The following is a 22,156-nucleotide window of genomic DNA, read 5'->3' on the forward strand; positions in this document are numbered from 1 at the left end:
TAACATCCTTAATATCCTTTGTGAGGAAGGGGAACTATACAGTCAAACAGAGCCATGGTTCCCAGCCCACGGCATTGCCAAGGAGGGTTTGGGCTCCCAATGAAGGGATCCTTTAGCCACCAGGGGGCAGCACCAGGACACTTATTTCTCAGGGAATAATCAAAAAGAAGGAAAAAGTTACCTTATTCAACAAGTATCTATTGGACGTCGTATCGTATGTGCCAAACACTTAAGGAATTTACATTTACTGGGGCAATGGAATGGTGATAACGGGTATCAAAAGCAAAGTTGCCTACCTCCAATTTTACGAATACCTCATTAGCATTACCTCTTCCAAACACCCATGTTGACCTTTCAACAAACATATTTTTCGCTTCTTTCTCATTTCTAGGCCCTCTTCCTTCTTTGAATCCCACTTTTGGATGGATAATAGTTCAGGTGAGCCTCTGATCATTTCCTAAGTGGAACAAAAAATTGTCACTACTGGCCACTCCTCTCTCAAAATTATAGACACTATGTCAGACTTTTTTCCTACCAATGTCATTATGGAAATTTCATTTTTCCTTCTTTTTTTTTCTCTTGGCCTGAAAAACCTAAATTACTTATCATCTGGTCCTTTACAGAAAAAGTTTGTCAACCCCTTGATCTACCCCACCATCTTCTCTTCTTTGCACAACAAAAGATTCCAGGCCGTGTGTCTGCTTCTTCAACCTCCTGGCCTCTTTTCTCTTCCTCAGACAGTCTTTCCCTTCCTCGGGACTTTTATCCTTGCTGCATCCTTTAACTGCAATGCCTTTAGAGGCTCATTCCTATCCCTTAAATCTCATCTCCAACACCACTATCTAGAGTAAATATCCCCTTCTCTAGTTACTATGTCGTGAAATCACCCCTTTATTTCCTTCATAATTATCTCACTTATTGTCTATTTCCTTCACCAGAATGGAAGCTCCATGAGCTCAGGCACCTGACTGTCTTTTTCAACACTGACTAGTACATAACAGGCACTCAATATTTTTTTTAATTGTGGTAAAATATACATAACAAAAGTTACCATTTTAAGTATATAATTCAGCAGCGTTACATACATTCAAATTGTTGTGCAACCATCACCACCATCCATCTCCGGAACTTTTTATCTTCCCAAGCTAAGGCTCTTGGCCCATTAAACAATAACTTCTAATTGCATCCTTCCCTGTCCACCCTGGTGACCATCATTCTGCACTCTATGAATTTGGCTACTTTATGTCCCCCAAATAAGTGGAATCATACAATAGGTGTCCTTTTGTGACTGGCTTATTTTCCTTAGCATAATATCTTCAGGGTTTATCCATGTTATAGCATGTAACTGACTTTCTCTCCTCTTTTATTTATTTATTTTTTTTGAGATGGATCCTGGCTCTGTCGCCCAGGCTGGAGTGCAGTGGCACGATCTCAGCTCACTGCAACCTCCGCCTCCCGGGTTTAAGCGATTCTCCTGCCTCAGCCTCCCGAGTAGCTGGGATTATAGGTGCCTGCCACCATGCCCACCTAATTTTTGTATTTTTAGTAGACACAGGGTTTCACCATGTTGGCCAGGTTGGTCTTGAACACCTGACCTCAGGTGATCCGCCCGCCTCGGCCTCCCAAACTGCCTTCCTCTTTAAGACTGATTAATATTCCTTTTTATGTACATACCACATTTTGTTTATCCACTCATCTGTTGATGGACACTGTAAGACTTTCTTAGTATACACCTATAATCCCAGCTACTTGGGAGGCTAAGGCAGGAGAATTGCTTGAACCCGGAAGGCAGAGGTTGCAGTGAGCTGAGATCACACTACTGCACTCCAGCCCGGGTGACAGTGCAAGACTCCGTCTCAAAAAATAATAATAATGATAAGAATAAGAATAATCTTGGGGCAGGGTGTGGTGGCTCACGCCTGTAATCCCAGCACTTTGGGAGGCCAAGGAGGGCGGATCATTTGAGATCAGGAGTTCGAGACCAGCGTGGCCAACATGGTGAACCTCTGTCTCTACTAAAAATGCAAAAATTAGCTGGGCATAGTGGCACATGCCTGTAATCACAGCTACTCGGGAGGCTGAGGCAGGAGAATCGCTTGAACCCGAAAGGTGGAGGTTGCAGTGAGCTGAGATCAAGCCACTGCACTCCAGCCTAGGCAATAGAGCGAGACTCTTGTCTCAAAAAAAAAAAAAAATCTTGGCCAGGTGCAGTGGCTCACACCTGTAATCTCACTTTGGGATTAGCACTTTGGGAGGCTGACCTAGGAGGCTTGTGTGAGCCCAGGAGTTTGAGACCAGCCTAGGCAACCTAGTGGGACCCTATCTCTACAAAAAAAAAAAAAAAAAAAAAAAAAAAAAAGCTTTTTTTAATTAGCCGGTGTTCTACAAGGGTGTACCAACAATAAACAGAAAATAAAGAATACATAAAATAAATAAATAGATAAATTAGCTGGGTGCAGTGGCACGTACCTGTGGTCCCAACTACTCAGGAGACTGAGGAGGGAGGATTGCCTGAGCCCAAGAGATGGAGGCTACAGTGAACCATGATGACACCACTGCACTCTGGCCTGGGAGAAGGAGTAAGACCCTGTTTCAAAATAATAATAATAACAAATATCTTATCAATTGTCAACATTCCCTGGGGCTTTTAAATGCCATTTGGCTTAACTGAGTTTTACAATTACAATAAACGTTCAGTTAGTATATGCTTAATTTCTTAATTTTCACGCCTGTAATCCCAGCACTTTGGGAGGCCGAGGTGGGCGGATCATTTGAGGTCAGGAGTTCGAGACCAGCCTGGCTAACATGGTGAAACTCTGTCTCTACTACAAATGCAAAATACCTACTCACTAGCAAAACAAAGGGAGTAATAACAAATACCAGGTACATTACATATCTTAATGAGAGAGTCTTTAAAAGCATTTGGGTGGGCAGCTTTTTTTTTTAACTTTGAAATTATGGAGTATATCAAATATACATATATAATATAATACATCAAATCCTCATATAATCATCACCCAGCTTAACAACTATCAGCTCACTGTGAAGCAAATCACGTCATGTTGTCTGTATTTCAAATGCCTTCCTGACAGATTAGTAAATGGTTTGAATGTCTTAGCATTTTATGAAGAAGATTTTTTCAGCTGAATTTGGTATCAGATTCCTATCTGCAAATCTGTCATATAATATGGTAGAAAGCATTTCATTAATACAAATTTCAAATTGAATATTTTAGAAGGATTTTTACATGCCTGATTATTTCAAGAATGCAAATTTTGAAGGAAAATATTTGTCAACAATTAGTCACTAAGAAAGATAAAAATTGTTGGACTACAAGGTGACTATACTTCTTTCAGTAACTGGTGGGGGCTCAGAGACTACGTCCATGGCTCTCCACTTGGTGAAAGAATCACAGGGAACTCAGTTTGCTTGTTTGTTTTTGAGACAGAGTCACAGGGAACTCAGTTTGCTTGTTTGTTTTTGAGACAGAGTCTCCTTCTGTCACCCAGGCTGGAGTGCAGCCGCTTTCTGGGCTCAAACGAATCTCCCACCTCAGCCTCCTGAGTAGCTAGCACTACAGGTGCACACCACACATGGCTAATCTTTGGATTTTTTTTGTAGAGATGGGGTTTCACCATGTTGCCTGGGCTGGTCTCGAACTCCCGGGCTTAAGCAATCTTCCTGCCTCAGCCTCCCAAAGTGCTGGGATTACAGGCATGAGCCACCATGCCAGGCCCGGAAAGAACTTGTTTAAAACGTAGGTTCCGGGGCCTCATTTTTGGAGATTTCAGGTTAGGTCTAGGCTGAGGTCCAGAAACATGCACTTCTAGTAAGTGCCGACGGTGATTCTGATGGAGGTGGTCTGAGACCCCATTAAGGGCAACACTGGCTGAAAACCCTTTTGCTAAGTTTGGCAGTAATTTGCTCCCTGGCTTTGGCCATTTAAAATTTGGCCTTTTAGTATTCTCTTCAGTGAAGATTTTCATGTACCAACCAGATAAATATACCATAACCCAGCACAGCCTTTCTTTCCATTCTCTGCTTTGAATGATGCACACTCTTCCCACAGCTTTCATGATCATATATTGTCTCACTTGTGAGTATGATTCGTTTTCATGGTCTTTGTAAATTCTGATTTGATTTCTTTGTCGGTTTCCAGGAGCAACGAACGGTAACATTAAAATTAGATGGCATTGGCCTGAGCAATTTATAATATAGTGAATATTTAATACTACTGAGGATGAGGAAAAATGTAAGAAAAGATTATCCATTTTGGTAATAGTCATTTCTTTTGCATCAGCTTGTTTACTGTTGGAACACAAAAACAATTTGCCTGAATCTTCTTAATTTAAAAACAGGCCAGGTGCGGTGGCTCTCACCTGTAATCCCAGCACTTTGGGAGGCCAAGGCAGGCGGATCATGAGGTCAGGAGATGGAGACCACCTGGCTAACACAGTGAAACCCTGTCTCTACTAAAAATACAAAAAATTAGCCAGGTGTGGTGGCCCGCACCTGTAATCCCAGCTGCTCAGGAGACTGAGGCAGGAGAATCCCTTGAACCTGGGAGGCAGAGGTTGCAGTGAGCTGAGATTATGCCACTGCACTCCAGCCTGGCTGACAGAGCAAGACTTCATCTCAAAACAAAAGCAAAAACAAAAACAAAAGCAAACAAACAAACAAAAAAACCCAGAACCTAAATCAGCAATGCTTTTTATTAATTAACAGCAACTAATAGCAATCAACAGCAATCTTCTTAGAAAATAATTTTATGCTACCAACTAAAGTTCCAATTTCACAGCAATAGAGCTAAAGCTAAAGGGAAAACCTCAGGAATAAGTGGCCTGAACATGAGGAAAATGTAATAGAAGAAAGCAAAGAATAAGAGGAAACTGGATCTGAGTTATTTATCGAAGCACATTAAAGAACAACCATAGGCCGGACGTGGTGGCTCACGCCTGCAGTCCCAACACTTCCAGAGGCCGAGGCAGGTGGATCACCTAAGGTCAGGAGTTCCAGACCTGCCTGGCCAACATGGCGAAACCCCGTCTCTACTAAAAATACAAAATGTAAAAATACAAAAGTTAGCCAGGCATGGTGACAAGCACCTATAGTCCCAGCTACTCAGGAGGCTGAGGCAGGAGAATTGCTTGAACCCAGGAGGCGGAGGTTGCAGTGAGCCGAGATCGTGGCATTGCACTCCAGCCTGGGTGACGAGAGAGAGAGACTCTGTCTCAAAAAAAAAAAAAAAAAAAAAGCCATAAATATAAGAAGCTCAGAATTGGCACCCCAAAATATGCCACTTTGCTAAAGCATTATTTTAAACTGAAAGCAACTGTGAAATAGCAGGTGCAGGAAACACTCTCTGTCCTCCCCTTTTCTACCTAAAAGCAGGGCACAAGTTTCCCTTTGTGAAAGTATCCCCCACTCTTGTACCAGGAAGGGAAAAACAGCCTTTATCTCTGGAGATGGAGGTGTACCGGGATGCGGCTGCGGGAATTAACCTTATCTTCCCATGAGTTTCCCCCATATTTTACCTTCCCAGAATTTGCCACCCTAGAAGCTCCACTGCCCTCTCCTTGGTCTTATCACTTCTCTACGTTTTGTTGCCCTTTTTAAGATGGTATTTAAGTGCCCCGAGTTTAACCACTTCTTTGGGTCTTTACTTCGTATGAACGCTTTTGAGCACATAAAAAACAATTAAAATATTAACATCAAATACGTTTGTATGCCTTTGTCTTTTGCCAGTTTAATTCACAGGCTCCAGTCACTGAGCTTAAGAGAACACAGGAAAGTTTTTCCTCCCCTACAATATTATTTGGGAACTTAATCCACTGGGCATTTGCTCACAGCCTTCCCTCCCTCCCTCCCTTCCGTTCCGTTCCCTCCCTTCCTCCCTCCCTCCTTCCTTCTCTCCCTCTTTTCCTTCTTTCCTTCCTTCCTTCCTTTCCTTCCTTCCTTCCCTCCTTTCTTTTCCCTCTCGTCTCCTCTCCTCTACTTTTCTCTTCTCTTCTCTTTTTTCTTTCCTTTTCTTTCCCAAGATCTTGCTGTGTCACCCAGGCTGCAGTGCAGTGCAATCAGAGCTCACTGCAGCTTCAATCTCCCTGGCTTAAGCAATCCTTCTGCCTCAGCCTCCCGAGTAGCTGGGACTACACATACATGTCACCATGCCCGGCTAATTTTTTTTTTTAAATTTTTTGTAGAGATGGGGGTCCCACTATGTTGCTCAGGCTAGTCTCAAACTCCTGAGCTCAAACAATCCTCCTGCCTCAGCCTCTCAAAATGCTGGGATTACAGGCGTGAGCTATTGCCCCCAACCACAGTTTTCTTTTAACTATGAAGGGATACTGGCGTAGGAGAAAGAACTTTGAAGTTAGACAAACCTGGATTGAAATCTCGAACCTATTAGTTAGTGCAAGTTATTTAAATCTGTGCCTCAATTTCTGCATCTATAAAACAAAGATGAGACCTATTTAATCTAACAGCTATTGAAGGTTCAATAAAATGAAACATGTAAAATACTTAGCACAAAGTAGAAGACTGGTAACATTTAGTCCCTGAATTCTGATATGTAACTCTGTGGCTAAGATTGCTAGAAAGAGATGCATTTAGAGAGCTGGATGGATAAAATGTAAGTCCTGCGTTTTTCTCTTTTCTTTTAGGTGGGGCTGTCATAGCTATATGCAGGGGTCCCATTGTGCTAGCTGGCAGGCTTTGCACAAGATTTTGCAGCTGAAAGAGGAATTTGAGAAAAATACAAGATCCCAATGAGTATAAAATAAAAGCACAGAAGGACACAATTACCATTGTGGATACTGCCAAATGATTCACAGGGCAGCAAGTGGGAAGGGAAGGAGCAGAATCTGCCCGATTCTTAATATGTAGCAAGAGCTTCTACCCAATAATTCTGCTTTAAGGGGCCTCTGTTAAGGAAATAATCCTAAATACATAAAAACAAGCACATAGGTGGTCATGAGATATTATTTAGCCATTATAAATAATACAACTTAGTATATACATTATCAACTCAATTATGTTTTCTGAAAAGGATACTGATGAACAAAGACTAGAAAGAAATACAAAACAGTACTATAAGTACTTAATTTTTGTATGGTGAATTATGACTGTGGAATTTCAATATTCATTTTAGTTCCTATTTTGAAAATTTCTACCCTTAACAATGTCATTTTTATAATCTCTCTACCCCCAAAAAAAACCCACAACAAAAAAATGATCACCATAATACAAAAGTTTTTCAAAAAATAAATGCATGGAAATTATCTGTATTGATTAAAAAAAGATCCAATCACTTCAGGTTTCAGATTTGTAGGTGGCAAGATGAAAATTTCTTTCTTTTTTTTTGAGACAGAGTTTCGCTCTTGTCTCCCGGGCTGGAGAGCAATGGCACGATCTTGGCTCACTGCAACCTCCACCTCCTGGGTTCAAGCGATTCTCCTGCCGCAGCCTCCCCAGTAGCCAGGATTACAGGCATACACCACCACGCCCCGCTAATTTTTGTATTTTTAGTACAGACAGCGTTTCACCATGTTGGCCAGGATGGTCTCGAACTCCTGACCTCAGGTAATCCACTCGCCTCGGCCTCCCAAAGTGCTGGGATTACAGGTGTGAGCTACCGCACCCGGCCGGAAATTTCTTTATGCAAATTAAAGGGCCTGAAATTTGTGTTTCCTATAGGGTGGAAGGCCTCCATGGCTCCACATGGAAGAAGACTGCAGAGGGATCGCAAAAGAGAGTCAACATCTTTTTTTTTTTTTTTTTTGAGACAGTCGCTCTGTTGCCCAAGCTGGAGTGCAGTGGCATGATCTTGGCTCACTGCAACCTCCGTCTCCTGGGTTCAAATGATTCTCATACCTCAGCCTCCCAAGTAGCTGGGAATACAGGCATGTGCCGCCATGGCTGGCTAATTCTTGTATTTTTAGTAGAGATGGGGTTTCGCCATGTTGGCCAGGCTGGTCTTGAACTCCTAGGCTCAAGGGATCCACCTTCCTTGGCCTCCCAAAGTACTGGGATTACAGGCGTGAGCCACCGCACCCAGCCATACTTTCAATAGTAGGTTTAGATCTATTGTATTGAGCAAAAAAAGTTCTCAACTACAGCCTCGACATTTTGTACTTGACAGGTGTGGTGGCTCACACCTGTAATCCCAGCACTTTGGGAAGCTGAAGAGGGAGGATGGATTGAGGCCAGGAGTTTGAGACTCGCCTGGGCAACATAGTGAAGCCCCCATCTCAACATAAAATTTAAAAATTCTGCACGTGTGGTGGCCTGTGCCTCTAGTCCTAGCTACTTGGAAGGCTAAGGCAAAAGATTGCTTGAGCCCAGGAGTTGGGGGCTGCAGTGAGCTATGATTGCCCCACTGCATTCCAGCCTGGGCATCAGAGACAGACCCTGTAACAAATAAAAATATAAAAATTCTATACCTTACAGCATGGTAGAGAAAACCATGGCTTGGACTTTGAGGACTATTGTTTGTTTTTTGGGACAGAGTCTCACTCTGTCACCCAGACTAGAGTGCAGTGGCACGCTCATGGCTCACTGTAGCCTTAACCTCCTGGGCTCAAGTGATCTTCCCACCTCAACCTCCTGAGTAGGTGGGACTACAGCTGCAAGCTACCATTCCTGGCTAATTTTATTGTATTTTTTGTGGAAACAGAGTTTCGCCATGTTGCCCAGACTGGTCTCGAACTCCTGGGCTCAAGCAGTCTGCCTGAGTCAGCCTCCTAAAGTGGTAGATTACAGGCAAGAGCCACCGCGTCTGGCCCTATTGTTACTAATACTCCACATTACCATAAAAAGACTTTGATATGACTATTAGAGAATGATTCTTAAACAGGACTGTGTTCATATGGTTGATCATTAGGGATTTAAATCTGAAAACTAAAATGACTTCTCATTCCTTGGGCCTGGCAGGAGTTTAAAAGTGTTTCTATAGTAAATGCTTTTGTCCTTCAAAGGCCTCTACTAGGAATCTATGGGTGTATTTCCCATGACTGAGACAATGTATTTTCCTCTTGCTGACATTTCCACCACTAATAGGATTTTCCATGGCCCACTCCACATGGACATTTTTCTCATGGAGTCCCATTGTGCCTCTTGGTCAGGATTTTAAATGGCTCCCGACTCTGGGGCCTTCATGTGATCTGCAGGAAATACTCAAGCAACATTGGGCCTAACAAACTCAGGAATGTAGGCTGATCCCAAAATATCGACGACCCCTTCTTCGTGCCTGCCTTTTCAGGAGCTAGTCATCTCTTCTTTGTCTTTCTTGATTTCTAGGTGAGATTCGGTTAATGCACTGTCTTTTTAATTACAGGTGAACATATTAGATTTTCTGAAAGGTCCCACTAAGTCCTCCCCTCCCAACCTGAGGTTTTCTGCCCCCTCTTTCGCTGGAGGACTCCACCGCACAGCCATCTCTATAGTCATCTTCCCTATCTATTTACCTTTTAAAATACTTAATGGAGACTAGGGGCTCAAGACGCATCTATTGGCCAGGCTCTGTGGTTCATGCTGGGTCCGGAATTGGTGGGTTCTTGGTCTCACTGCCTTCAAAAATGAAGCCGCAGATCCTCTCGGTGAGTGTTACAGTTCTTAAGGTGGCACGTCTGGAGTTTGTTCCTTCTGACGTTCAGATGTGTTCGGAGTTTCTTTCTTCTGGTGGGTTCGTGGTCTCACTGGCTCAGGAGTGAAGCTGCAGACCTTCGCAGTGAGTGTTACAGCTCTTAAGGCAGCGCGTCTGGAGTTGTTAGTTCCTCCCGGTGGGCTCGTGGTCTCACTGGCTTCAGGAGTGAAGCTGCAGACCTTCGCGGTGAGTGTTACAGCTCATAAAAGCAGTATAGACCCAAAGAGTGCACAGTAGCAAGAGTTATTGCAAAGAGCGAAAGAACAAAGCCTACACAGTGTGGAAGCGGACCCCAGCGGGTTGCCAATGCTGGTTCGGGCAGCCTGCTTTTATTCTCTTATCTGGCCCCACCCACGTCCTGCTGATTGGTAGAGCCGAGTGGTCTGTTTTGTCAGGGCACTGATTGGTGCATTTACAATCCCTGCGCTAGACACAAAGGTTCTCCACGTCCCCACCAGATTAGTTAGATACAGAGTGTCTACACAAAGGTTCTCCAAGGCCCCACCAGAGTAGCTAGATACAGAGTGTCGTTTGGTGCACTCACAAACCCTGAGCTAGACACAGGGTGCCGATTGGTGTGTTTACAAACCTTGAGCTAGATACAGAGTGCCGATTGGTGTATTTACAATCCCTGAGCTAGACATAAAGATTCTCCAGTCCCCACCAGACTCAGGAGCCCAGCTGGCTTCACCCAGTGGATCCCCCACCGGGGCTGCAGGTGGAGCTGCCTGTCAGTCCCGGGTCCGTGCGCCTGCAGCACTCCTCAGCCCTTGGGTGGTCGATGGGACTGGGTGCCCTGGAGCAGGGGGTGGAGCTCGTCAGGGAGGCTCGGGCTGCACAGGAGCCCATGGAGGGGGTGGGAGGCTCAGGCATGGCGGGCTGCAGGTCCCGAGCCCTGCCCCGCAGGAAGGCAGCTAAGACTCGGTGAGAAATCGAGCGCAGCGCCGGTGGGCTGGCACTGCTGGGGGACCCAGTACACCCTCCGCAGCCGCTGGCCCGGGTGCTAAGCCCCTCATTGCCCGGGGCCGGCAGGGCCAAGCCCACGCCCACCCGGAACTCCAGCTGGCCCGCAAGCGCGGCGCGCAGCCCCGGTTCCCGCTCGGGCCTCTCCCTCCACACCTCCCTGCAAGCTGAGGGAGCGGGCTCCGGCCTTGGCCAGCCCAGAAAGGGGCTCCCACAGTGCAGTGGTGGGCTGAAGGGCTCCTCAAGTGCCGCCAAAGTGGGAGCCCAGGCAGAGGAGGCGCCGAGAGCAAGCGAGGATTGTGAGGACTTGCCAGCACGCTGTCACCTCTCAATGCCTGTAATCCTAGCATTTTAGGAGGCCGGAGTACGCAGATAACTTGAGGTCAGGAGTTCGAGACCAGCCTGACCAACATGGTGAAACCCCGTCTCTACTAAAAATACAAAAAAATAGCGCCCCAGAAGAGCCTCGTCCTGGGCAGCGGTGGCGCGGCGGTCGCTGTGATAGCCACGGGGCTGGGCGGCTGACCGCTGGGCTAGGAGAGGGCCCAGCGCCCCGAATCTTGGTGGCCGCTGCTGGAGCGCGGCCTGCGCCATGGCCACCTCCGCCGCCTCCTCCGAGCGTTTCAAGAAGCTGCACGAAATCTTCCGCGGCCTCCACGAAGACCTACAAGGGGTGCCCGAGCAGCTGCTGGGGACGGCGGGGACCGAAGAGAATAAGTCGATCAGGGATTTTGATGAAAAGCAACAGGAAGCAAATGAAATGCTGGCAGGGATGGAGGAGGAGCTACGTTATGCACCCCTGTCTTTCCATAACACCATGACGTCTAAGCTTCGAAACTACCGGAAGGACCTTGCCAAACTCCATCGGGAGGTGAGAAGCACGCCTTTGACAGCCACACCAGGAGGGCGAGGAGACATGAAATATGACATATATGCTGTAGAGAATGAGCATATGAATCGGCTACAGTCTCAAAGGGCAATGCTTCTGCAAGGTCCTGAAAACCTGAACCGGGCCACCCAAAGTATTGAACGTTCTCATCAGATTGCCACGGAGACTGACCAGATTGGCTCAGAAACCATAGAAGAGCTGGGGGAACAACGAGACCATTTAGAACGCACCAAGAGTAGACTGATAAACACAACTGAAAACTTGAGCAAAAGTCGAAAGATTCTCCGTTCAATGTCCAGAAAAGTGACAACCAACAAGCTGCTGTTTTCCATCATCATCTTACTGGAGCTCGCCGTCCTGGGAGGCCTGGTTTACTACAGATTCTTTCGCAACCATTGAACTTCCTGTAGGGAAGGGTTTGTGGACCAGAACTTTCACCTTGTGAATGCATGAGGTTAGGGATGTGGATGGAATAAGCATATTGCTGCTGAGGGCTAACAGTTCAGGCATGCACTGTGTAACCAGGCTGTGGGAGGAGGCAGGAAAGATGGAAAGCCACTTAAATGTGAAGGAACAGCAAGAAGACCAGTATGATATACCAAGGTAATAAATGCTGTTTATGACTTCTTTTAAAAAAATACAAAAACTAGCTGGGCAAGGTGGCACAGGCCTGTAAGCCCAACTACGTGGGAGGCTGAGGCAGGAGAATCACTTGAACCCAGGAGGTGGAGGTTGCAGTGAGCCGAGATCGCACCACTGCACTCCAGCCTGGGTGACACAGCAAGACTCTGTTTCAAAATAAAAAATAAAAAAAAGACGCATGCACCTATGCTAAGGTTTTTGCATGATGGTTTATTTGGAAATAACATACACAGACTCATTGCCTCTACTGAAATTTTGACAGGAAGGGTCCCAACTAACATCCTATAACATCCATAAACGCCTGCATATGCGCAGCAAATCTCTGGCTTCTTTTGGGAAGAAACTGGCTCTTCCTCTGGGAAGAGAAGCTGCGGGGGCTGAGGTCAGGGGCAGAACTATATTTATTTTATTGATATCCCTTTTTACTGTTTGCATGTACTATGCGCACGTACTACTTCAAAAAAATTCAAATAAATTAAAGAGAAAAATATATAAATAAGGAGAAGATAACTTCTGCATAAATGGATATTAATATCATGCTCTTGGTTGGGACAATTTGTCATTGTAGAATTGTTCAGTCCTCCAAAGTTAATCTATAAATGTGGTGCAATACTAATAAAGATCCTATCAAGATTTTTTTGCAACAATTTGACAAATAAATGAATAAATAAACCTCTACACACTAGCTAATATAATCGAAAAAGAATTATCTATATTATTATATGTATAAGAATTATATAAATAATTGAAAAAGAAAAGAGAAAAGAATTGCCTATCAATATAAAGACACAGTATCCAGCCAACAAAATTTTAAATTTCTGTATTTTGGGTAGTGGGCATAGAGAAAGAGCAAGGGAATGGAGAGAGTCAAGGCACAGAGCCAGGAATGGTACAGAACGGAATGTGGGCTAGGAGCAGTGGCTCACACCTATAATCCCAGCACTTTGGGAGGCCAAGGCAGGAGGATCACTTGAGGTCAGGAGTTCGAGACCAGCCTTGCCAACATGGTGAAACCCTGTCTCTCCTAAAAATACAAAAATTAGCCGGGCGTGGTGGCACGTGCCCGTAGTCCCAGCTGCTTGGGAAGCTGAGGCATGAAAATTGCTTAAACCTGGGAGGCGGAGATTGCAGTGAGCCGAGATCATGCCACTGCACTCCAGCTTGGGTGACAGAGCAAGACTCTGTTTGGAAAAAAAAAAAAAAAAGAATGGAGTATGCACGATAGCTGAATCACCTGGGGGTGGCATGACAAATCCTAGGGGAAATGGTCATTTAGTGAAAATGGAAAAATGGCTTGCTTCATGGAAGAGAAAATAAATTATGTCTCTACTATATACAACTTATAAAAAATAAACCTTAATTAGGTTAGAAGTGTGAAAGATAAAAACAGTATATATATGTATTTATTTACATTTGTTTTGAGAGGGAGTCTTGCTCTGTCACCCAGGCTGGAGTGTGATGGTGCCATCTTGACTCACTGCAACCTCTGCCTCCCAGGCTCAAGCATTCTCATGAATCAGCGTCGGGAGTAGCTAGGATTACAGACACCCACCACCCCACCCAGCTAATTTTTGTATTTTTAGTAGACAGCGTTTCACCATGTTCCAGGCTGGTCTCAAACTCCTGACCTCAAGTGATCTTCTGGTGAGATTGAGAATCTCTTTAAGAAAATTCCTACTCATAGCCTTTGACTATTTTCCTTTAGGGTTTCCTGTTTTATCTTGCTGATTATCAGAAGTTTTTTTTTTGAGACAGTCTCACTCTGTTGCCCAGGCTGGAGTGCAGCGGCGCGATCTCGGTTCACTGCAACCTCCGCCTCCCTGGTTCAAGCGATTCTCATGCATCAGCCTCCTGAGTAGCTGGGATTACAGGTGCCCGCCACCATGCAGGGCTAATTTTTGTATTTTTAGTAGAATGGGGTTTCACCATGTTGGCCAGGCTGCTCTCAAACTCCTGACCTCAGGTGATCCACCTGCCTCGGCCTCTCAAAGTGTTGGGATTACAGGCGTGAGCCACTGTGCTCGGCCTGCAGAAGTTCTTTGTAGCTATTTATCCCTTTATTGCTTTTATATGTTGTATTTCTTTCCAGTCTGTTACCCATGTGTTAACATGGTCTATTCTATCTTTCTTTGAACAAAACTATTTAATTTTGGTGTACTCTTATTCATTTATGAATTGAGGATCTTGTTTAAGAATCTTTTCCACTCTGATGTTTTAAAAATATTTTTCTTGTTTAACAATTGGTTTTGGCTGGGCATGGTGGCTCACACCTGTAATCCCAGCACTGTGGGAGGCCAGAGCAGAAGCATCGCTTGAGCCCAGGAGTTTGAGACCAGCTTGGGCAACACAGTGAGACTTCATCTTTATTTAAAAAAAAAAAAAAAAAATTGGCCGGGCGGGGTGGCTCATGTCTGTAATTCTAGCATTTTGGGAAGTCGAGACGGGTGGATCACCTGAGGTCAGGAGTTCAAAACCAGCCTGGCCAATGTGGTGAAACCCCATCCCTACTAAAAATACAAAAGTTAGCTGGGCTTGGTGATGGGTGCCTGTAATTCCAGCTACTTGGAAGGATGAGGCAGGAGAATCACTTGAACCTGGGAGGCAGAGGTTGCAGTGAGCCGTGATCATGCCATTGCACTCCAGCCTGGATGACAAGAGTGAAACTCCATCTCAAAAAAATTAAAAATAAAAATATAAAAATAAAAGATCCTTTTAGGCCACGGACAGTGGTTCATGCCTGTAATCCCAGCAATCTGGGAGGCCGAGGCAGGAAGATCACTTGAACCCAGGAGTTTGAGACCAGCCTGGGCAACATAGGGGGACATCATCTGTATCAAAAATAGAGGTTAATCTAGTGTGGTGGCACACATCTGTGGTCCCAGCTACCCAGGAGGCTGAGGCAGGAAGATGGTTTGAGCCTGGGAGGTCGAGGCTGCAGTGAGCTGTGATCAGACCACTGCACTCCAGCCTGGGCGACAGAGTGAGAACCTGCCTCAAAAAAAAAAAAAAAAAAAAAGAAAAAAAAAAAAAAAAAAAAGATTTTTTTAATTTGTACAGGATAATGGAAGGACTTTTATTGGAAACCAGAAGACCTGGCTCCACTATTCAGTAGCTATCTGACCTCCATGTTAGAATCTGGCCTCTGTAAGCCTATTTCTTCATCTGTGAAAAGCCGCCTACCTCAGTGTCAGTGTAAAGAACAAATCAAAAATACTCAGTGAAATGTAGTGTTATAAACAAAAACCTAAAGATTTATTAAAACTCTTCTTTAGCTCTCCTAATCATTTTCTTAAATGGATTTATAAAACTCAATTCACACAAAACTTTAAAGGGAAACGTGCTATTTAAGAAAAAAATGTGTCTTGGTCAGTTACTTTCAAACAACGTAGGAGGTGGAATGTGTATATTAGAAGATTCTGGGGAATTTAAAGATACTAAGGAATGACAGTTGGCTATAAGCCAGCCTTTATTTGCTCTTTAGAATAAACTCAGTACTTCCCTCAGAGAGAAATGTTCATCGTTTCAGGACAAGTGTTATTTATCACATTACAAAGAAACTCGAATATGTAAAATTTTTAATGTATGTTACATTATTTTAACCAGCAAAAAAAAAAAAAATGGAAATCTAACTTTGCACATAAAAATGATTCAATTATCAAAAAAGGACATCCTATTTCAAATTCACCATAAACATTTTTGGCTGGGCGCGGTGGCTCACGCCTGTAATCCCAGCACTTTGAGAGGCTGAGGCAGGCGGATCACGAGGTCAGGAGATCGAGACCATCCTGGCTAACACGGTGAAACCCCGTCTCTACTAAAAATACAAAATAAATAAATAAATAAATAAATAAACAAAATTAGCCAGGTGTGGTGGCAGGCACCTGCAGTACCAGCTACTTGGGAGGCTGAGGCAGGAGAATGCATGAATCCAGGAGGCGAAGCTTGCAGTGAGCTGAGATCATGCCACTGCACTCCAGCCTGGACAACAGAGCAAGACTCATCTCAAAAAAAAAAAATTATAGTTCATTCTTCTGCAGGTGTTGAGTGCAGTTAGGTGAGTTAGGTCAAGGTGACTGATGGTTTTGTTCAGCTCTTATGTCCTTACTGATTTTTTAAACATGTTCTATCACTTCCTGAAGAAGAGATGTTTAATTCTGTCAAATTTTGCTTCAAGTATTTTGAAGTGCTGTTAAGTACATACCCACTTACAATTATCTTTCTAATGTAGTGACTGTTTTATTATGAAATGTCCAGACTGGGCACGGTGGCTCATGCCTGTAATCCCAGCACTTTGGGAGACGGAGGTGGGCAGATCACCTGAGGTCAGGAATTCACAACCAGCCTGGCCATCATGGCGAAACCCTGTCTCTACTAAAAACACAAAAATCAGCCGGATATGGTGGCAGATGCCTGTAATCCCAGCTACTCAGGTGGCTGAGGCAGGAGAATTGCTAGAACCCGGGAGGCAGAGGCTGCAGCGAGCTGAGATCACACCACTGCACTCCAGCCTTGGCGACAGAGCGAGACTCTATCTCAAAAAAAATAAGTCCCTTTTTTCCCTGATAATTCTCTTTGTCTGGAAATCTACATTATGTGATAAATAGCCACTCCAACCTTCTTATGCTTATATTTTGTGCCTATCGTTTTCCATCCATTTACTCTCAACCTATCTGTTTTTATATTTAAATATCATCGATAGACAGCATATAATTGCCTTACTTTTTAATGCATTCTGACAATCCTTGCATTTTAATTGGAGTTTTTAGTTTATTCAAATGTAATGTAATTATTGCTATGGACGAATTTAGGAAAACCTCTTTGAGTTGCTTTTTTGTGGTTGCCCAAGGGATGACAATAACCAACCTTAACTTTTCATAGTGTTTTTAAAGTTAATATTGTGCCACATGACATAAAAATACAAGCCCCTTGCACTCTACCTGTACTTTAAGCTATAGCTGTCAAATGCATCACATTTCCATGTTATAAATTTCATTACAGGGTTTGTTATAATTTTTGCTTTGAACAGTCCCGTATTTTAAAGAAATTATGAGGAAAAGGAGTCTTTTATACTTACCCACATATTTACCTTTCTGAGCCTCTTCCTTCCTTCCTGAACATTCAGGTTTCCATCTGGTATTATTTCCCTTCTGTCTAAAGAACTTCATTTAGCATTTCTTGTAGCACAGGTCTGCTAGTGACAGATTCTACGTTTTAAGTAAAAATGTATTTAATTTGCCCTCATTATTGCATGATATTTTCATTTCATCTGTATGATTATTTCCAGATAAAGGGTTGATTTTTTTTTTCAGAACTTTAAATATGTCATTTCACTTGATTCTGATGAGTAGTCAATGGCATTTCAAATCTTTGTTCCCCTCATAAAATGTCATTTTCCTTTGGTTACTCTAAAGATATTCTTTTTATTTTTTCCTTTTCAATGGTTTGGCTCTGTTTTGTTTTTGTTTGTTTTTTGTTTTTGTTTCTGAGATGGAAGTCTTGCTATGTTGTCCAGGCTGGTCTCAAACTCCTGGGCTCAAGTGATCCTCCCACCTCAGCCTCCTGAGTAGCTGGGACTACAGGTGCACGCCACTGTACCCAGCCTCATTTTTGAAATTTAAATACAAAAAGTGAGCACTGGCTTTTTAAAAACATACACACAGGCCGGGCATGGTGGCTCACACCTGTAATCCGAGCACTTTGGGAGGCAGAGGTGGGTGAATCACCTGAGGCCAGGAGTTTGAGGCCAGCCTGGCCAACATGGCAAAACCCCATCTCTACTAAAAATACAAAAAATTAGCTGAGCATGGTGGTGGGTGCCTGTAATCCCAGTTACTTGGGAGTCTGAGGCAGGAGAACTGCTTGAACCTGGGAGGTGGAGGTTGCAGTGAGCCGAGATTGCGCCACTGTACTCCAGCCTGGGCGAGGGAGCGAGACTCTGTCTCAAAAAACAAATAAAACATACGTACAAGTCTAACAGCCAAAATGCACAGAGGAAATGATCTCCTACTCTGTCCTCCAAGGTTCCCATTCTGTGGCTGAATTTGCTGCTGGCCTTCCTCCTTTACAACATGCATAGAAATCCACAGCATCCACTTTACACTACAGCTGTAATGCATTTTGTCTGCTTCATGCCATGTGCACATCCTTCCTCATTCTGATTGATGGTCAAGGATACATCCCTCCACTAGCATCAGTTCCTGCCCTACGATGGGATAGCGAGGAGATCAACCAGTTAGGAAAAATCTAGTCAAAGGGGTAGGGTGGCTAGAGATGGAGTAGCCCTCTGCACTGATGTACTGTGGTATCTGAGTGAGGAGAGAAAAAATGGGGCAGAAAAGCATGGAGGGCACAGTTGAAAGTTGGGAGTCTCTCTGTGAAACGCTGTGAGGAGGATTCTTCTGACCTGCTTTAGATAGATCAATGTGCCAAAGTAAAGAAAAAAAATCCGGCCGGGCATGGTGGCTCATGCTTGTAATCCCAGCACTTTGGGAGGCCGAGGCGGGCGGATCACGAGGTCAGGAGATCGAGACCATCCTGGCTAACACGGTGAAACCCCATCTCTACTAAAAATACAAAAAAATTAGCCGGGCGTGGTGGCGGGCGCCTGTAGTTTCAGCTACTCGGGAGGCTGAGGCAGGAGAATGGCGTGAACCTGGGAGGCGGAGCTTGCAGTGAGCCGAGATTGCGCCACTGCACTCCAGCCTGGGCGACAGAGCGAGACTCCGTCTCAAAAAAAGAAAAAAAGTCCAAATAATCAGCAGTCTAGAGACTTGAATTTCAAACTTCTCCCACCAGGATGGCTCATATATGGCAGTAACAATCTAGATCTCTCCAGGAGTGAAGGGAGAGCCTGTGGTAGGCCCCGTGGTAGGCCCTAGAAAGTATCCACTGCTGCTTCTAGTTGCTGCTGTTGTTCCACTTGTGACTTAGTCTCCAAGACAACAGAACAGCCAGGAGTATAAAGAAAGTGGTTGCAATCCACAAGGCTGTTCTGGAAAACCCGTATATCTTTTGAGCCATGAAGAGGGAGAGATCAGAAATGGATCCAGCTACAGACCAGAGTTCTTTGGGAGCATCTCCATTTGGCGCCATTGTCATGATGGGTCTCATTTAGCTCCTTGTGGCTCCTATTCCACCCCCTCCTCAGTCTCCTCTATGTTGCCTTTTGGGCGCAATTTGGGGACAGGGGTACCCCCGTGCCATGGCAGCAGCAAATAATGGGCATCCATTTTCTCTTTCCTTTCTGGAACCCTATACACGTTAGATCTTTTTGTATTGTCCTGTCTCTTAGGCACCATTCCTTATTTTATTTTTCTCTCTGATCTTCAGATTGAATTAATTTCTATTGCTTTACCTTCAAATTCACAGATACTTTCTTACGTTATTTCTATTCTGATCTTTTTTTTCTTTTGAGACAGAGTTTCCTCTTGTTGCCCAGGCTTGAGTGCAATGGAGTGATCTCTGCTCACTGCAACCTCCACCTCCTGGGCTCAAGCGATTCTCCTGCCTCAGCCTCCTGAGTGGCTGGGATTATAGGTATGCGCCACCACATCCAGCTAATTTTGTATTTTTAGTAGAGACCGGGTTTCTCCATGTTGGTAAGGCTTGTCTCAAACTCCCAACCTCAGGTGATCGACCTGCCTCCACCTCCCAAAGTGCTGGGATTACAGATGTGAGCCACCACACCTGGCCTCTATTCTGATCTTAAGGCTATCCAGCAAAAATTTCATTTTAAATATTATATTTTCAATGTTAGCATTAACCTTTGGTTCTTTTTTATGGTTTTTCTCTTCTGTGATTTCCTATCTTTTCATTCATTATGAGTATATTTTCCTCTAAATCCTTGGGCATAGTTTTGACAGCTGCTCTAAAATTTTTGTCTCTAATTCCAACATCTGGTTCATCCTGGGATAACTGATCGACTTTGAGTCACATTTTCTTATTTTTTCGTATGCCTAGTAATTTTAGATTCTAACCTGGACACTTGGATGAACTCAAACTTCTCAGTTCAGTTATTTAAGGCTTATATGGGCTGCTTGGAGTCTGCTGTGCACATGTGTAGTTTAGGTTCGGCAAGAAATTTGGGCATTTTCTATATAGTCTTTAAGGCTCCTCCTTTGTGAATCTCTCTTTTCTGTGATTTCTCCTCTACTTCCCATTGCTGTGCGTTTGCATCCCTCCTCCTCGCCTCTTTGGTGAGGGAGGGATTTCTACTGTAAGGCTATGGGAATAAGCTAAACACAACACAAGACACTACACAGATGAGACTGACAGCAGTGTACTAGTCACATATACTCACAGCCTAGCAGAGAACACCCACTCCACACGGGGCCAGGTGGGGCCTGCACTTGGAAATAGAGAACAACCACGGGTGCAGGCTTTGTAGTATCAAGAGGATGAGGTCGCTCCTGGTTCCTGAGGGAGGACGTGACTGGTGTGGATGAATAATTCCATAAGCTGTCAGGGAACTAAAACCTGTGACTCAGGAATAAGCAGGAAATGTGCCTGATCCTTGAGCTAAGGAGTGGAGTGTGGACAGGAACTTGTAGTTAGGCCATTCAAGGGCCTCCTGATTTTACCAGATATCAAGGCAATACATGGTATTAACTTTAGACCATACACCACCTGTGGTTGTCCTGGACTCCAACCTCTGGCTCTTCAAGCCAGTAAGTCTGCAAGTTTGAAAGTTATAGTCATTCCACATGGTACTGATGAGGGCCTGCCCCCAGGCTAAATGACATTCTTATATGATGAAACTCATGAACTGCTATTTCCTTCTTCCAAGTGTGGACTCCCATCCAGAATTTGCCTTCTTTTTCTTGCTCTCCAGTGCCTTTTGGTAGATTTTTAAATTCTGTTCAGAATGTATAGCTGTTATTTGCAGGAACACTGATCTGACAGGAGCTATCTGGCCATTACAGGAAGCAGAACCTTCAAAGTTCCTTCTTAATCTTGGCTGCTTAGAGTCTGCCCTGCACATGTGTAGTTCAGGTAAACTGCTTTGGACACGAGCAGCTTAACCACACAACTGAAGGAATTATCAGGTGTGACTAATTATAACAGGACTTGGCATGGAGTCTCTGGGATAATAACACATGAGAACATTATCCCACAGCTGAAATCCGTAACTGGAGGGCTCATAAAAAATTGTTGCATAAAACACTTAAATTTTGATTTAGTACAAATTTAGATTCCGTACAAATAATTCATCAAACTTGAGTTGAGCCTGGAATATATCAGATAAAATCCAAGAAAAAAGTTTTTTGTTTTACAGTTTTTACATACTGCTAAAGTACATATGGGGGAAAATTATGGCTATCATTTGATAATGCAGTCCTATATCTCTTCTTAAATACCTACCATCTTTCATTAGCCTTGCTTGATTTTTACCAATTTTAATCTCTCTTTAATTCTGCCATCATTGCCAATTTGCTTTTATTTATACTTATGCTTATAAGCATTTCCCTAACATGTGTCATGTCCCTATAAAGACTATAAATGTCTCATGGACAAAGACCAAAGCCTTGATTTCATTTAAACCTCGACACTGCAGATACTCACATATGTTGATTATTCTTTTTCAGTGAATCCTATCAAGACTCAGATGGACAAATTGGGCTTTTAAAAAAATCTCTTCAGTACTAGGTATATGGTTGTTTCCTTTGGTGATCCCAGAAGGCCTCACAAGACTCAATAGCAGGTTATATATTAATACGTGGCTCAGATTAATGACAGCAAAGGATACAGGGCAAAAGCAACAGGAAAAGATGTATCAGTGGAGTCCAGAGAGGTCCAACATAGGATTCTGTTGTCCTTTGTCTGCAGCTACACAGGAATTCTGTCTCTCTCTCAGCAAACTATAGACACGTGTGGAATGTCTCTGCCCACAGAATCCCACTTGAGTCTCAGGGTTTAAGGCTTTTGTGGGAGGCTGTTCATGTACTCATACTCTGCTATGGAATTGGCTACGGCAACCAAAACTCAGGGGCCCAATAATAAAACCAGGTGCCTATTTATCAGTC

At 44.0% G+C, this 22,156-nt stretch overlaps 1 long non-coding RNA gene and 1 pseudogene across 1 annotated transcript, besides 2 other annotated features; both read left to right on the plus strand.

Moving 5' to 3' along the window:
* The first annotated feature begins 204 nt into the window (after positions 1-204).
* On the plus strand, positions 205-6,797 carry LOC124900823 (uncharacterized). Its single transcript, XR_007058411.1, has 2 exons — positions 205-438; positions 6,660-6,797. It is a non-coding gene; the product is annotated as an uncharacterized LOC124900823 (long non-coding RNA).
* Positions 10,157-10,657: an enhancer, noted in NCBI's record as "H3K27ac hESC enhancer chr4:184403604-184404104 (GRCh37/hg19 assembly coordinates)". NCBI's record gives its function as "activates a minimal SCP1, AML or CMV promoter by ChIP-STARR-seq in naive H9 embryonic stem cells {active_cell/tissue: H9 hESC(naive)}" and the evidence as "EXISTENCE:reporter gene assay evidence [ECO:0000049][PMID:30033119]".
* Positions 10,658-11,158: an enhancer, noted in NCBI's record as "H3K27ac hESC enhancer chr4:184404105-184404605 (GRCh37/hg19 assembly coordinates)". NCBI's record gives its function as "activates a minimal SCP1, AML or CMV promoter by ChIP-STARR-seq in naive H9 embryonic stem cells {active_cell/tissue: H9 hESC(naive)}" and the evidence as "EXISTENCE:reporter gene assay evidence [ECO:0000049][PMID:30033119]".
* On the plus strand, positions 11,056-12,134 carry VTI1BP2 (vesicle transport through interaction with t-SNAREs 1B pseudogene 2; annotated as a pseudogene).

Source organism: Homo sapiens, chromosome 4 (assembly GCF_000001405.40).
Source record: "Homo sapiens chromosome 4, GRCh38.p14 Primary Assembly".
Taxonomy (NCBI): Eukaryota; Metazoa; Chordata; class Mammalia; order Primates; family Hominidae; genus Homo; species Homo sapiens.